This window comes from Homo sapiens, chromosome 2 (assembly GCF_000001405.40).
Source record: "Homo sapiens chromosome 2, GRCh38.p14 Primary Assembly".
NCBI classification, from domain to species: Eukaryota; Metazoa; Chordata; class Mammalia; order Primates; family Hominidae; genus Homo; species Homo sapiens.
This window is the reverse complement of record NC_000002.12, coordinates 65,853,197-65,868,362: the sequence shown is the minus strand read 5'-3', so window position 1 is coordinate 65,868,362 and position 15,166 is coordinate 65,853,197. Positions and strand designations below refer to the sequence as shown.

At 41.9% G+C, this 15,166-nt stretch overlaps 1 long non-coding RNA gene across 2 annotated transcripts in view, besides 1 other annotated feature; it reads right to left on the bottom strand.

Moving 5' to 3' along the window:
• The window catches only part of LINC02934 (long intergenic non-protein coding RNA 2934), a 298,411-nt gene that overhangs the window by 220,123 nt on the left and 63,122 nt on the right, over positions 1-15,166 (bottom strand). The gene's annotated exons all lie outside the window — the stretch shown is intronic.
• Positions 2,545-4,208: an enhancer, noted in NCBI's record as "HHc2:065944". NCBI's record gives its function as "enhancer in rhombomere, hindbrain" and the evidence as "EXISTENCE:transgenic organism evidence [ECO:0001131][PMID:22448256]".

The following is a 15,166-nucleotide window of genomic DNA, read 5'->3' as shown; positions in this document are numbered from 1 at the left end:
ATCGGGAGCCTGCTGTGGGACTGCCATCCCTGCTGAGCCCAGAAACTATAGGCAGCTCCTCAGAGACCCCTTCTTGGCATCACTAGTCCCCAAGCCCAAGTCCCACGGAGATGTATCTTCTGGGCAAACCACGGTCACATATTTGCACCCTAGAAGCAAACGGGTTTCAGTAAAAAGTGGGGAACAGTCCCTGACTCCTAACAAGATCCATCAGGTGCCGAATTCCTCAAACATGAAAGGGAAGCTCAGATTCCCAGTGGCCAAAAGGAAAGGCAAACATGGGAACACAGGACTGTGGGAGAGTCTTCATCTTCAGGGACCTTGACTGCAATCCTTCACTAAAGCTAAGGTGACCATTGACCTGTTTGCCAAGCATGGTCTTGTCTATGGCTATTGTCCTGGCTTAAATACTAATAACATCTTTTCACGCTCAGAAGTGTTGCATGGATTTGCATGTGTGTATGCATATGTGTGTGAGTGTGTGCATACCTGTACTTTTGTGTGAATGTACCCAAACTGTCACAAATTGTGCTGCAGAAACCAGGCTCCTGATAAAGTGGGCATTACCTCCTCTTCCAGGAACTACTCAGTACAATCTGAGACTCTGACTTCAGAATGATTCGAAGGAACCACTTCCGTAATAACAGCATTGCCTTGACTTGGTATATGATTTGTTGCTTTGCAGTTGGAAAACCGGGAAGTGATAATTCCTGGAAAAGATTCTTTCCACTGTGTCTGTTCTGTTAAGTGCATTTCTCAGACTCCGTTATTTTATCTCACTTCCCTCAGGAATCTGCCCTTAGCTGGCTTCCAAGTAGTAATATAATTCACCTTTTTGCTCTAACTTTAAAATGCCAGCATATTTTCAGTATTGGAGCTCTTTGGGGAAGAGTGGCTGGGGGAGGAATAAAAAAAGAAAAAGAGAAACCCAAAAAAGAACATTGAAGACTAAAGTAGAGAAAGGATGGGGAATAGAAGGAAGAAAGAGAAAATTAGAAGAGAAAGGAAGTAAAAAGGAAGAAGGAAATTAATTGAGAGGAAAAGAGAGAAGAAAGAAAAGAGAATCATTTTACATGATATATTATTCAAATGTTTATTTCTCTTGGCTCGGGACACGTGTGGGTAAAAGCAAGCAATTCGGCAAGCTTGGTGGTCTCCACCGGATTCCAGTGGGTTTCTCTGGCTAAACTCAGTCCCAGTGTCTGAGCCAGTAAGGGCTTCTGCCCCATGTTGCACCATCCAGCAAACAGTGCTATAGAGTGGAAGCAACGGATAGCTGGGTTTATCCAAGCTGAGGTTCAAAACACACACTGCACACGCCCCCCTGTGATGTCCTTCCCAAGGAGAAGCATACCCAAGAATGATCTAAACCCTGATTTTTAGTCCCAGCAAAATTGGGACCCTTCCCAAGCTACAGATCAACTTTATCTGGAAATACCACCTTCTTGAGAAAAACTTTTCTCATTTTGAAAAATCCTTGTATCGACTCCATTTGAGCATTCTGCTATTCCCAGTGATGTTTTAAAACAATGGTACCCAAATACATATTCCTAAACTGATAGATGGAGAAATCACACTTTGCAAATTAAGACTATGCCACTTCTCAAAATAAAACCCACCCTATAACCCTGCTATGTTACTGGGTAGCAGAACCAGCATTTTCTCTTCCTGTTTACAGGTAATTAAGACCTTCTGGCATGTTATAATCACTACATATTGAAAGATTTTAAAGCATCTATTTTAACCCACAACCTCATTCTAATTTGTACATGTCTGCAAGGATAGAGATGGGAAAAAATATCACTTCTTCTGAATGATCCAACCTCACAATTAATAATTGAGCATCTCTTTTTCTCTTTCTCCCTTGCCTTTTTTCTCTCCGAACTAGAGTGCACTCTTCAGCTTGTTAAGCTCAGTTCACTCCCACTGATAATTCACTAGAGATCATAATTTATGGACAATTGAAGCTGCAGAAACATCTCTTAGAAGGAATAGAGCAGATCCATAGCAACAATTCTTCAGGGGAATATTAATCCCCGGCTTTATGTAGTGCTAAGTGTACAATAGTAATCAGAACTTGAGTAGAAGCTGCTAATCATTGAGGGAAAAGGCTGTATAAAGAATTCATAATGGAATTAGCCTGCGGCAAACAAAGAAAGACAAAATTAAATCAGCCATCAAATTGCACCAAGGAATTTTAATTTACAGGTTAATGTAGGATTATGTAACTAATCACAGCTAACATTTTCAATGAACAACCAATAAAATTCTGCTCTTTTTTTCCTTTCTAATCTTACTAATGGTATTCCAATAACATGCTTTTATTACCCTATGATATGTTGGAAATGATTCTCAAAAATTCTCAAAGTCTTTCCAATTGTCAGAATCAGTGTAAAAATGGAGCTTTGAAATAATCCATCAAAAGTGTGGATCGAGGAATATCCACTCCTCCTTTTAGCCCAGACCTAATAATGTCTGGGTAAGTTTGCATAAAATAGATTTACATAACCATATAGCTTTAAAGTATATGCATGTTTTTCATGCAGTGCAGGGAGCTAAAATAAGGCAAAAGAGACTAAATTAAATATGTGAAACTAATTTGAAGCACAAAGTTTATCAGCTAATTCTAAATAAAACCACTGCCATAGACTTATATGTCAATATTGCAGACATATCTAATGACATACACACCAAGGACTGCTCTAACGGAGTTTTCATGGTTTATAAATGTGAACATCATAAAAAGAAATAAGGTTTCTAGGATAAAAAGTTGATTAGCATTTCCCATGGGAGGGGGTCAGAATCTTGTATCCTCCCCAGTTACATTTTGATTTCAACCAATGAATGGCAAAGACAGAAAAAAAAACCCTCTACACAATTTGAAAAATTATATGAAATCCAACTGCTTCATAAATATAAATATATAAAAAGACAGCATAACTCTTTGCACATTGGCAAGGAGAAACTCCAAAATTATACTGTATGCTTAAAAAGACATCAGTTTAATCAAAAAGATCTTTTTCCAACATATGGCAGAAGGAAAATTATTATAAATGGAGTAAAAAGTATGTTCATAAGCTTTACTTCACGAGGGAAGAATGCTGGGAAGAAAGGCGACGGCATTCTTCTTGCATATGTTTTTCTTGTCGAGAACAATGTGGGAAAGTCTCATTTTCCTTTAATCTAAATGTTCATTTTATGGAAGCAGCAACATTCGGCCCAGTTATTAGCAAAGGAGTTTTGTTGCTTTATAAAGTCTAATTTTAAGATGCGCACTTCCAAAAAAAACATTATGGTGTCAATTGCACTACCCTTCAGCAATCCTGTAATAACTTTATTCAACCATTTCTAATTATAATTATATTTTCAATTCCTTTTAGCTATAGAAACTCTTTATCAATCAGAGCACAAGACAGAAAATTACTTTATTACAGCTACAGCTCGTTAGGCTGAGTGCTCTTAATGAAGCAGCCTCATAATCAGATGAAAATCATGCTGGAGAAAACTTGCATCATTAGTCTGGGCCTTAATTACCAAGAAATATAGTCACTAACAATGATATTCCATTTCATGATATGGTGCATGCACCTTCTACACTAGTTGCAATTAATAATTCCACCGGCTGCTACAGAATCTTTTCTATTTATTCATAACAATGGAGGGGGGAAATTCTAAATTTAATTGAGCGCTTCAGATTGTGCTCTCTTTCTCCCTCGCTCTTGCGTTCAGATTAAAATGTCACAAGGCTAATATTCTATCTTACAATAATTCATCATTTTAATTACATATTTTATGTATGTGAAATGTCTTTTTCAGCTTTATAGTTGAGGCTGACATTTTTGGGGATGTATGTAGGAAAATGGGTGGCCTCTTGCAAAGGTGGTTCCTACCACCCAAGACCACATCAAGGAAATAAAAAAAAAAAATCACTGCCGTCAGCTCATCAGCACCATCCATGTTGGGAAAAGCTGCCAGCAAGAACAGGGACATTCATTGAAATTAATGTCAGCATCTTCTGATAGGCTTTGGATGGTAGAATGGCGATGTTCTGGGGGGAACAAGGCTGTGTCACTGGCCCCTTTGTTAAGCGTGATTGATCACAGACAGAATCAGCAACTTTCCTTTGTGAAAGTCTGCTTTCTTCTACTCTGTTTCCTTTCACCCTTTCCTTGCCTTCCCTTCTCACCAACATTCTTGCTTCTGACCTCCTGAGAAACACTTTCGGTGGCTTGGGAAGGAGATCTGACCTCCTGCCATCTTCTGCACACTGCTGAATCCCAGCAGATGCCCACCCAAATTCTTGATGCACTCTCCAGGCTGGCTGAAGGCTGGAACTCAAGGTACTGTTGCAACTGCTGCTCTTTTTCAAATGCAAATTAGGTTACTGGGTGAGGGCAAAGAGCACTTGTGGGAGGGCAGAGGGCAGTGGGGTTGGCATAGATAAATGACACCCCCATTTGACCTCCAAACCCAAGTGTGCCTAGAGCTGAACTTCCTGTCTGACATCACCTCTCATAGCAAGAGTTGTGAAACAGCTGATTTGATTAATCAGGGCTGCACTTCCCCCAGTCATCTGCCTTATGGACACCAAGCAGTTTGATAAATGAAATTGATAGAAGAAAAGAATGGCTTGGAAAAATCCATAAGCCACAGGAGGAAGGGTTGGCTCTGATATAAGAGAATGCCAAGTTTTTAAAGACCTTAGCATCTGATTTCTATGTCATGAATGTAGAGATCCCCTACTTAAAGATCACTGGCTTCACACTGATTAGGATTTAGCATGGGGTGTCACGGTTCTTGAGGCAGCATAAAGAAGAATACATTCTCCCCACCCAAGTGAGGTCCCTAAATAGATAAGCAAATGACTGAATAAATTAATCAATGAAAACTCTCCACAAAACCACCAGATAAGAATTAGCCTGAGGATGGTGAAGAACTGACTGTATCGTTAGTGATTTCTTTGTTTCTCCTGGCATGACTAAGGTTTGGAGGAAAGTAGTGGCAAGTTGTGTTGTATTTCACAGATTTCACAGGCAAAGTGGGTGTGCAGGAGGAGTGTGTAAGTAAGAGTCAGTGGGACCGGGAGCATCATGGGACAGAGCAGGAAAACGGGGGCCCCACCTGGAGAATAATACTAAGTGGACAAGAGGAGGTAGGCCTGGACCAATAACCAGAGCTGTAGGAAGCAGCAGGAAATGAAAAGCAGCCCAAGAAGGCATTAAGCAGAAGAGAGGGCACTAATCAGAACCATACAGAGCACATTTCCATAGGAAAAATGCTTGGCATTTTGGACAGCCCAACAGCTTGCAAAACAACATGAGATGTGCAGTGATCCCCAAAGAGAACGGGTTTGCAAAGTCCAGCCTGATACCCTTAGAAGCAGCCACAGGAGAGCCAAGGAAGAGTTAAAGGGAACCAGCTGAGTTTACACATTCTCTTATTAATGCAATGCCAGGAAAAGACCTCAGCATTATTGTCCTTGCCTTCAATCACTCCCTAATGTTTCCTTCTAACAGCATTTCATTTAAGTTCAGAAGTCACTGCAGGTATTTCCATCTGGCAGGAGCTACCAACACAGACACACTATAGGCCCCTGGTAAAGCTCTAGACCTTTGGAGCTATGCCCTGCACTCTGATGTGCCCATTCTCTGTGTCTGGCAATGTCCACATCCAGTTCCACAATGGAAAAGAGACAATAGCATACAATGCTGTAACCAAGGAGACTGGGGGTTCCTGAACCTTTGAGGGTTTTCAGAGAGAGGTACCCAGATAACAGCCTAATCATCCTTCATGGGTACAGTGGCTATAAGCATAAGATCTTCCTAGGCTGAGCCACATACTAGCAGGGTGACCTTAGGAGAGTGACTTACCTCCTCTGTGCCTCAGTTTCCACATGCCTGGAATAAGGACAATAATAGCATCCACTTTATAATATTGTGGCAAAGGTAATCTGAAATGAGGCATGTAAAAGTGTTCATAATAGGATCTGGCACATAGTAAGTTTCAATAAATGTTAGCTCTGATCAACTTCATCATTGTCATCATTGTAATCACCAGCACAGACAAGAAGCAGGCATGCCTTGCTCTGAAAATAGGTTGCAAGAATTTCAAACAGTGGTTTTCAAACCTGGCTACATATTAAAATCAGCTGCCCCAGATTCCCCAACCCTGGACCAATTAGATCAGAATCTCCCAGGTGGTATTGTTTAAAGCTCTTTACATGATTCCAGTGTGCTACCAGGGTTGAGACTCACTGATGTTGAGTCTCGAGGCTAATGCATGATATTTGAAACAATAAATGGCCAGCTACAAGGCCTGCATCTTGACACATGGCAAAGCCTTCATATGGGTCACCCGGAGAGCAATGGGAATCTGGAAGCTCCACTTTGAGATGTGAGAGTTTGGAGCATTTATGGCCCATAGATGAGCAGACACAGCTTTGGCTGAAACAATGTGCCTGGTGGCTTTTCCAGCTGGCAAAGTAGTCCATTTCCAAGATACAGAATATACTGCATGCAGCCAGATGTTCCCACAGGATGACCACCAGTGACTGGCAAACACTCCTGTCTGGTGCCAGGACATGCATATGCCACAAGGCACAAGGTCAACCATGAGCACCAGCACAAGGACTGCCTTCCCCCATGGTTTAGTGAAGGCAGCCCATGCAAAACCTGCCCAGAGGGATCCTGGGAAGGCCAGAGGGAGGAAATGCTTGCCATTCAGGTCTCTGAGAGTAAAGATTAACCTGTCAGAATGTACAAAGTTAGATTCAGGCTAACCCTGAATGAATGTGACAAACCTAACTGGTTAAATCCTTAGCTAGCTTGATGACTTTGGCAGCTGTTTGACATTTGCATTTACAGGATCTAGGAAAACTAGAAATTTTAACTACTTAGATTCCTTAAATCTAAACAAAACTGCCAGGTGCTCAAAAGATAATCCTCTATTTATTTATTTGCTTTTAATATTTAAGACACTTCCGTCATAGAGCGGCCTCTGAGAGTGTACATGAAATGATAGAAAACCACAATTTAAAAAAAAATTAAGAACACTAAGCAGTATCTAAACTCATCATTCAATTTAACTCATATTTTCTTCTGGCAGGAAGGGATTTACTTAGACTGTGGTGGTTACTGGAAAACCAAAAAGGGCCTGGTTCATTCTACAGTGTCTAGGTGAGCACAGTCACCCCGTGGGTCCTCTCAGGGATCCGGAAAGCAGAGGGAGGGTCCCTTGCCCTCCCATTCAGAGACAGCAAGTCCCCTTCTTTGCTTTTGCTTGCTGCTGGCTACTCTTTTACCCTGCAAAAGGATCCTGTGAGAGAGACAAGAGTAACAATGAGGAAAAAATTATCAACAGTCACAGTTGGAAATACTCGAAGACTCCTTTACAACCACGAAGTTTAGAACGGAAACTTAAAAGTCAGAACCAACACACCAAAGAACTTAAAATCAAAAACTGAAAAGGACAAGTATTAAGATCCCACTTACAGGAGGTACCAAGAACTGTCAGATTCCTGGAGACAGAAAGTGGGGACTGGGGAAGGGGTAGTGATGAGTTATTGAATGGGAACAGAGTTTATTTAGTATTTCATGGGGTTTTGCTTCAGGGATTTTTTTTAAAAGCAATACAAAAAATTTTTTAAATCAAGAGCCTAAAGCTCTTCCTTAAAATACTGAAAGCAGATCAGAAAAGAAAGATTTGAAGCATGAGAGATAGACTGAGTCACTGAAGATTCTGACCCTACTAAGCTGAGTGACCTTGGCCAAGTTACAACACCTCTTAAAGCTTGGTTTCTTCATCATTAAAACAAAAGAGTTAAAGATGATCACTAAGTCCACACCAATTCTAAAGTCCACAGTTATATATTTTCTTTCTTCTGCATCATTTTTTAATTCTACCTTGGTATCCATGGAAATATTTTTATAGAAAAGCCACAGTAGTCATTAGAGGCAAACATCAGTATTATTTTCCCTATTGGTTATAAAGAGGAAAGAGTTGGGAAAGATTCAATAAAAATAACTCTTCATTGTCAAATCTGCAGGTGGGGAACCCATAATATGCAAATGCAATGTTATTTTTCAATGTTTTAGTCTTTTATCAAAAGATATTTTTCTCTAATGAAAGTGATCTTTTTTTCAGGAGCATAGAATATCTGGTTAGAAGTCATTGAATCTAGGCCTGCCCTTGAATTTGTGGCTGAGCCTGTCCCTTAAATCAGGAGCCAGATATGTTCAGGATCATGAACAGCCAAGTTATTACCACAGCAGAATCACTCTTCCTGTGGCTCTATTTTCCCCCTGGTCTTTACTTCCAATTTTCTTGAAGTATCTCTCCCATTGTTAGGTTATTTCTAAATTCTCCTCCTACCATCCAACAATCTTGGCATTCAATGCCATGGTTTCAAGGAACCAGTATCCTAACCGTAATCTGCATTCTGTATCTATTCATCTGACATTGTCCCTTTTCCCACTTTGACTCTAAAATGTCAAGAAAGCAGAAACTCTGCAATGCACCTCCTCCCCAAGCCCCATGGCATCTAGGAGAAGGTAAGCAGTTAGCCTCAACCAACCTCTAAGTGCTACAAGCCATGCAACCTGCATTCAATTTTTTAGGCCAGTGTTTCTCATTGTGGGACAATTTGCCCCCTCATCCTCCACCAGAACATTTGGCAATGCCTGGATCCATTTGTGGTTGTCATAAATGAGGATAGGGTTACCGCTGGCACTTAATGGGAAGAGGCCAGGGATGCTGCTGAACATTCCACGGGGCACAGGACAGCCCCCTACACAACAAAGAATTACTTGACCAAAAATGTAAATAGTGCTGAGAAACCTGCCTTATACCATTGAAAACTTCACAGAAGTTATGAAATAGGTTTTCTCATCCTCATTTTGCAGATAAAGGTTGAAAAGATTAAGTAATTTCTTCAGTGACCTAGTAGGAAAGTAGAAAAGCCAGGATTGGATCTCAAGTATCTGGGTCCAAAGCCCCACTGCTGATTCTAGAAGGAGGGAGGGTGGGAGAATGAGCAGAGAATGAATATAGTCAGCTCACTGCTCTGAGGTGGGAAAGCCAGAAGAAGAAGGGCAGATTGCACTGGAGGGAAACCTGAGACTTCCTCTGGGTATCATTCCTGATGCTCCAGGCCACATGATCAGGCAAGATGTACTATCTTTCCATCACTGCTGTTTGGAACTTCCCACTCCAATGGGGTAGACAGAGTGAGGTTGACCAGTAGGACTATGTGTCTCCACAACACTCTAGCTTCAGGGGCCATCTGGAAAAGACACAGTTCTCTGTCCCCAGAGAAGCTCCTTAGAAAGCTGACAATTAGGGCTGCAGAGCTGCACACACAGAAACTACAGGCCAAGTTTCTGGTCTCCTGGGGTAGCCTCTACCTGCTGAATGGCCCTCTTAGATCCTTTCTTTCAGGAAATGAAGATGGATGGGAGGAGAGTGACCGGGAATGGTCCCTGAGTTTCCCCTTGGGGGAAAGCCACCTGTCCATCAGCTAACTGCCTTCATTCAGTCCCTTTGAAGAGCAAACTGTTCACCCAGCAGAATCACACACAAGACACTGATGGTTTAAAAAAAATAATAACAATAACTCTGGCTGAGCACAGTGGCTCAAGCCTGTAATCTCAACATTTAGGGAGGCCAAAGCAGGAGGATTGCTTGGGCCCAGGAGTTCAAGACCAGCCTGGGCAACATAGCAAGACCCTGTCACTACAAAAAAACTGAAAATCAGCCTGGCGTGATGGCTTACCCTCGTAGTCCCAGCTACCTGGGAGACAGAGGCAGGAGGATCGCTTGAGCCCAGGAGTTTGAGGCTGCAGTGAGCTATAATCACACCACTGCACTCCAGACTGGGTAACAGAGCAAGACCCTGTCTCAGAAAGAAAAGAAAAACCCTTCTTTTGTTCCCATAAAAAGCCTGCTTCCTACTACTCACTGTGATTTTCAAACATCTACAACAAACACCAGCCTTTATGGTGAAGTAGGGTAGGGAAAATCTGTTTCTAAACCCTGGTTGCTGGGGTCCAGGCTTGGGAAGCCCCTCTCCCAGCAGTGCCTCTTGCCCCCTCACATCTCCACCAGCCTCCCTTGGAAACCTGGGTCCACTGTGTGAGGCATAGCAGACTAGCAAGATGGATGGGCGTAATTTAGGGTTGCTTCTGTCAATCATTTCTGCTAAAAAGTCTTAAGGATATTTAATTCCCTCAGTCCCTGTACATTAATTAGGCCCTTTTTACCTGCACTCTCCAATTGTTCTGGAAGCAGAAGACTGCTGGGCAAGAAGAAGAGAAGTCCTATTGTATGCTACACGACAGACATTGAAATCAATCCATCAGGATTTTAAAAAGCACCTTCAAGGTGCCCAGCACCTCACCCACCTTCGAAGGCCCCTCTCTTGGGGATCAGACCATGGCAACAGAGATGGATTGGAGCCCACAGCAGTCTAAAGGGATACCACAAGTTTATCTGTGGTTCTAAGGTAACCTCCAAACCACCATGGCTGGTGGATTTTTTTTCCCCACTATTGAACAGAAGAAACATTTATTAAATAACATGATTCATTATTTTGGGCCAAGTGCAGTGGCTCACGCCTATAATCTCAACACTTTGGGAGGCTGAGGTTAGTGCTTCACTTGAGCTCAGGAGTTTGAGACCAGCCTAGGCAACATAGTGAGACCTCATCTCTACAAAAAATAAACAAAAAATTAGCCAGGTGTGGTGGTGCGGGCCTGCAGTTTTAGCTACTTGGGAGGTTGAGATGGGAGGATTGCTTGAGCCCAGGAGGTCGAGGCTGCAGTGAGCCAAGATCCTGTCACTGCACTCCAGCCTGGGTGACAGTGTGAGAGCCTGTCTCAAAAAAAAAAAAAAAGTGTTAAATAACGTGATCCATTTTTTTTTTTTTTTTACTATTGCTTATTTGGATTTCACTAGTTCTTCATTAACATCTTTTTTTTTTTTTTTGACACAGGGTCTCACTCTGTCACCCAGGCTGGCATGCACTGGCATAATCTTGGCTCACTGCAACCTCTTCCTCTCAGGCTCAGGTGATCCTCAGCCTCCAGAATAGTTGGGCCTACAAAATGAACCACCACACCCGGCTAATTTTTTTTTTTTGTATAATTTGTAGAGACAGGATTTCACCACATTGCCCAGGCTGGTCTCAAACACCTGGACTCAAGCGAGTCACCTTCCTTGGCCTCCCAAAATGCTGGGATTACAAGCATGAGTCACCGCACCCAGCCTAATGTCCTTTTTCTGTTCCAAGATCCAATCCAGGATAATTGACTGCACTGAGTTGTCTCCTTTGTCTCCTCTTGCATAAGTTATCTGAGTTTCCTGGCTTTCCATGATCTTGTTACTTTTGAGTACTGGTCAGGTGTTTTATAGAATGGCCCTCACTTTAGGTTTCCTTGTGATTAGACTGGGGTTTGGGGGAAGAATATCACAGAGGTGTGTGCCCTCTCCTCCCATTGCCTCAGGAGGTACATGATAGAGATCCACACAGCATCACTGAAGATGTTCCCCCCATCACTTGGTTAAGGCAGTTTCTACCACTTTCCTCCTGTGCAAACTTATGATTTTTCCCTCTATTCTTTCAAAGCAAGACACTAAGTCCAGCCAGTACTCAAGGGGGAGTGGAGCATTTTTATCACATTCTGCCTTTGGACTGACTCCTTAACAGGAAGTAGAAATCCATTTTGAAAAAAAGCACCTTGTGGAAGCCAGGGCTTTGGGCTCCAGTCTCAGCTGTATGACCTAGGCCACATCTGTCACTCAGTTGCTTAGAGTGGCTTACTGCAGTCTCCCCTCTGTAAGATGTGCAAAGTGGTCCTGCCTTCTCCAGTTAGATGCTAAGGGCTTGGATGTGGGAAGGGACTTTCAGCAGCCATGCTCCACCTCATGGCACCCAATTTGAATACCTGTCATCTTCGTAACCTTTCCCTGGGGCAGCCAGGCACATAGCCCTGGCATTCCTGGATGCACCCAACACTTGACTGGCCCACGTTTGGCCTCTGTTGTGGCCAATCCCTCTGCTAGAAATGCTCTTCCCTCACTGTTGGCAAAATTCTCTTCCTCACTTCACCTGGGTCTCTGCTCGAATGTCACCTCTGAGAAAGGTCTTCCTTGACCCTTCTACATGTCTGCAACCTCTCTATCCCTTCGCCTGGCAGTGGTTTTTTTGTGGCTCTCAACACTGCCCGACATTATATTCTGTATTTTTGTTTCTATTGTTTGTCCCTACACTAGCTTTTTTGCCCCATGAAGGACAGGAACTTGGCATGTTTTATTCCCCCACTGAATCCTCAGTGCTGAGGACAGAGCTTGGCATATAGTGGGCTGAGCCTCAAGATACATGTATTGAATGAAAGAATGTATGGGAAGTATATTTATTTTTTGCATCTCTGCAATGCCTGGGGCCGTTATAGATTCACAAACCATTGCAGTAACTCTGTACCACACAACCTCCCACCAGGCTGAGACTCACTGGGTGAACCTATTAGTATCTAAGCTTATAACTTTGGATGGACTGGAAATACTTTAGATAGGAGAAAGACTATACCATGGAGATGAAAAATTGGATTTCTCTTCAAAAGATATCTTCCACCACCCTTTCCTCTACATCTCCCCCAAAAGCAACATGATCTTTAGAAAAAAATAAAAATTATTATTCAGCCCTTGTTTAATCATCTGATTTCTTGGTCTCGAGTCCATGGAGATTACATATATGTCAACATTTTCTGGCACTTTAAGAGTTATCAAAAATGTCACCAGCCACCAAATGTTTCATTAATTATTGCAAACATCTTCAGGAAAAAAAAATGCCATAGTGGGTTTCTTTTACTGAGTGATTTATTTCAGACATAATTTTAGTTTAATTAATAGGGGATTTTGTTGTGACCTGGAGGGTGGGCGAACCAACAGAGAGTCTGTGGCTTGGTTAGGAAAGAGCTAGAAACCTGTCTGTGCCTGTAGAAGGAAAATTTTGTGGGGAAAAAAAAAAAAGCTGGCATTTTATTCAGTTGTGAATATCCAGCCCATTCCCTCATTAAGGCTACTAATGGATTATCCTGAAAAAGCAAATTAAAAGGAGGTGGGGGTGGAGCTAAGGGGTACAAAGTAGAAGGAAAAAAGTGAGATTTGGCTTATTTATACTATGCCTGAAAATAATTCCATTTCTTAGCTGTATTGTGATCTGTATCTGTGCCATATGTCCTTACAAAATCCTAAAACAACAAAAGCAACAAATCAACAGGATGATTGGTTAGGTCCTGTCTGGCACCATCCAGCAAAAGTCAAAAGACACAGTCCCTGCATTTGAGGAGCCAAGTCTTCCTTAAAGTGGCTTCATTTGAACTTCTGGCATTCTAAAAACGTTTAATCACTTATCCAAGCAATAAAGCTTATTTTTTTGAGGGGTACATTTGGAGAGGAGAAGGTTGTTGTTTTCAATTACCAATAAGCAAAATGCCTCGTCCACATTTCCCAAAACACCAGGTTACATTAGTTTCACTTTTAATATCCTGCCAAAGAGAAAAAAAAGTCCCCAAATATGGTGCAAATACATCTGTCTAATATTGCTGTTCAAAATGCCACTGCATTGAATAAAATTCCATGCTGTAAAATTTTGCAAGGTGATAAAACAAAAATGATAAAATAAATATAAAACATCTGTGTTTTTTTTTTAACAAGACATTTGGAAACTGATTTCATTTATATTTAAACTTGTTTTGAAGTGTCCCTAGTTTTGAAAAACATCTAGAGTATATTAGTTTTCTTTTCTCAAGCCAAAGATAAAAGAACTGATGCCCAAGTGAAGGAGGATGAGAGAGAAGAAACCACCATTGCATATTCCAGAATAAACCTTGTATTTGAGTCTTCAGCTGGCTTTCAGTCATAGAGGGGTACATGCCCTCCATCAGCAGTCCTGGAAAATGGATTCTCACATACACACAAAAATGTGTTAAAACAACATTAAGTTTCTGGCAACAGCTTAAGCACATATACCCAGGGAAGGGGAGAATTTAACAGCGTCTCTGACTCTCTCCGTGTGCCTAGGTGGGGCGGTTCCCAAAACACTGAGAGAATGGTAAGACCACCCACCGCTTTTGGCTGAGGCAGGCTTTGGTGTGGAGGGGTAGGGCTCAAATATGGGGAACTCTGCCTCCACCATCAGACTAGGAAACCCAGAATCTGAGCATCTGGGCATCAGACCTATAACAACCCCAAAAGGTCTCAGGTTTCCTTTCAAAAACCAAAGGAACACAGAAAAATGACATTTGAGGGAGAGTGAGAGAGAACAAAACATGTATATCCATTTGCTCCCTTCATTCTCCATAGCTAGGGAGGCAAAAGCATGAGACCTGAATCCACAGATGGGAGCTCCACCATCACCTACCCACCCACAACACCATTTTATCTAACACCCATCTTTCGACCAAAAATTCAGCTCTAGAATTGGCAAATCAGGAGTGAGCTCTTTGTTCATTTCATTGCTCATGGCAGATGGATAAATTGTGCCTGGAACAACCAAGAGAAGAGAATCTGGGCTGAAGACTCTCATAAATGAGTTTTCAATATTAATATTTGCTAACTTTTTATTGAGCACCCTTTTGTGCTAGCATTTTACAAGCACTGCCACATTTCATCCTCACAACTACATCTATTGTAGGTGATCGTTATCATCACCTTCCAAATGAGGAAGCTGAACTGCAGCGAGGCCAAATAAATTGCCCAGGGTCACACAGCTAGCAAGAGGCAGAGCAGGAAACTGAACCCAAGTGTGGATGACTGCAACATCACTACCGTCATTCCTCGGCATCTGGTAAGCAGGAATAGACCACAGCCCAAGTTTTCCATAGGAAGTTTACTGATTTCAGCTACTGAAGAGAGGACCTCTGAATGGACAAAAGTTCTACTTAACACAGCATTTGAAGTAAAATTCAGTTCTTAATATTTTTCTGGTAAGACTATATTTGGAACTAGGTTAACCACATGTTGTCAAGTAGAAGACGTTGGTGCCATAATGCACGGTTAATGGTACTTTTTTTCTGGTTTTTTTTATTATTATACTTTTAAGTTCTAGTGCACATGTGCACAACGTGTAGGTTTGTTACATATGTATACATGTGCCATGTTGGTGTGCTGC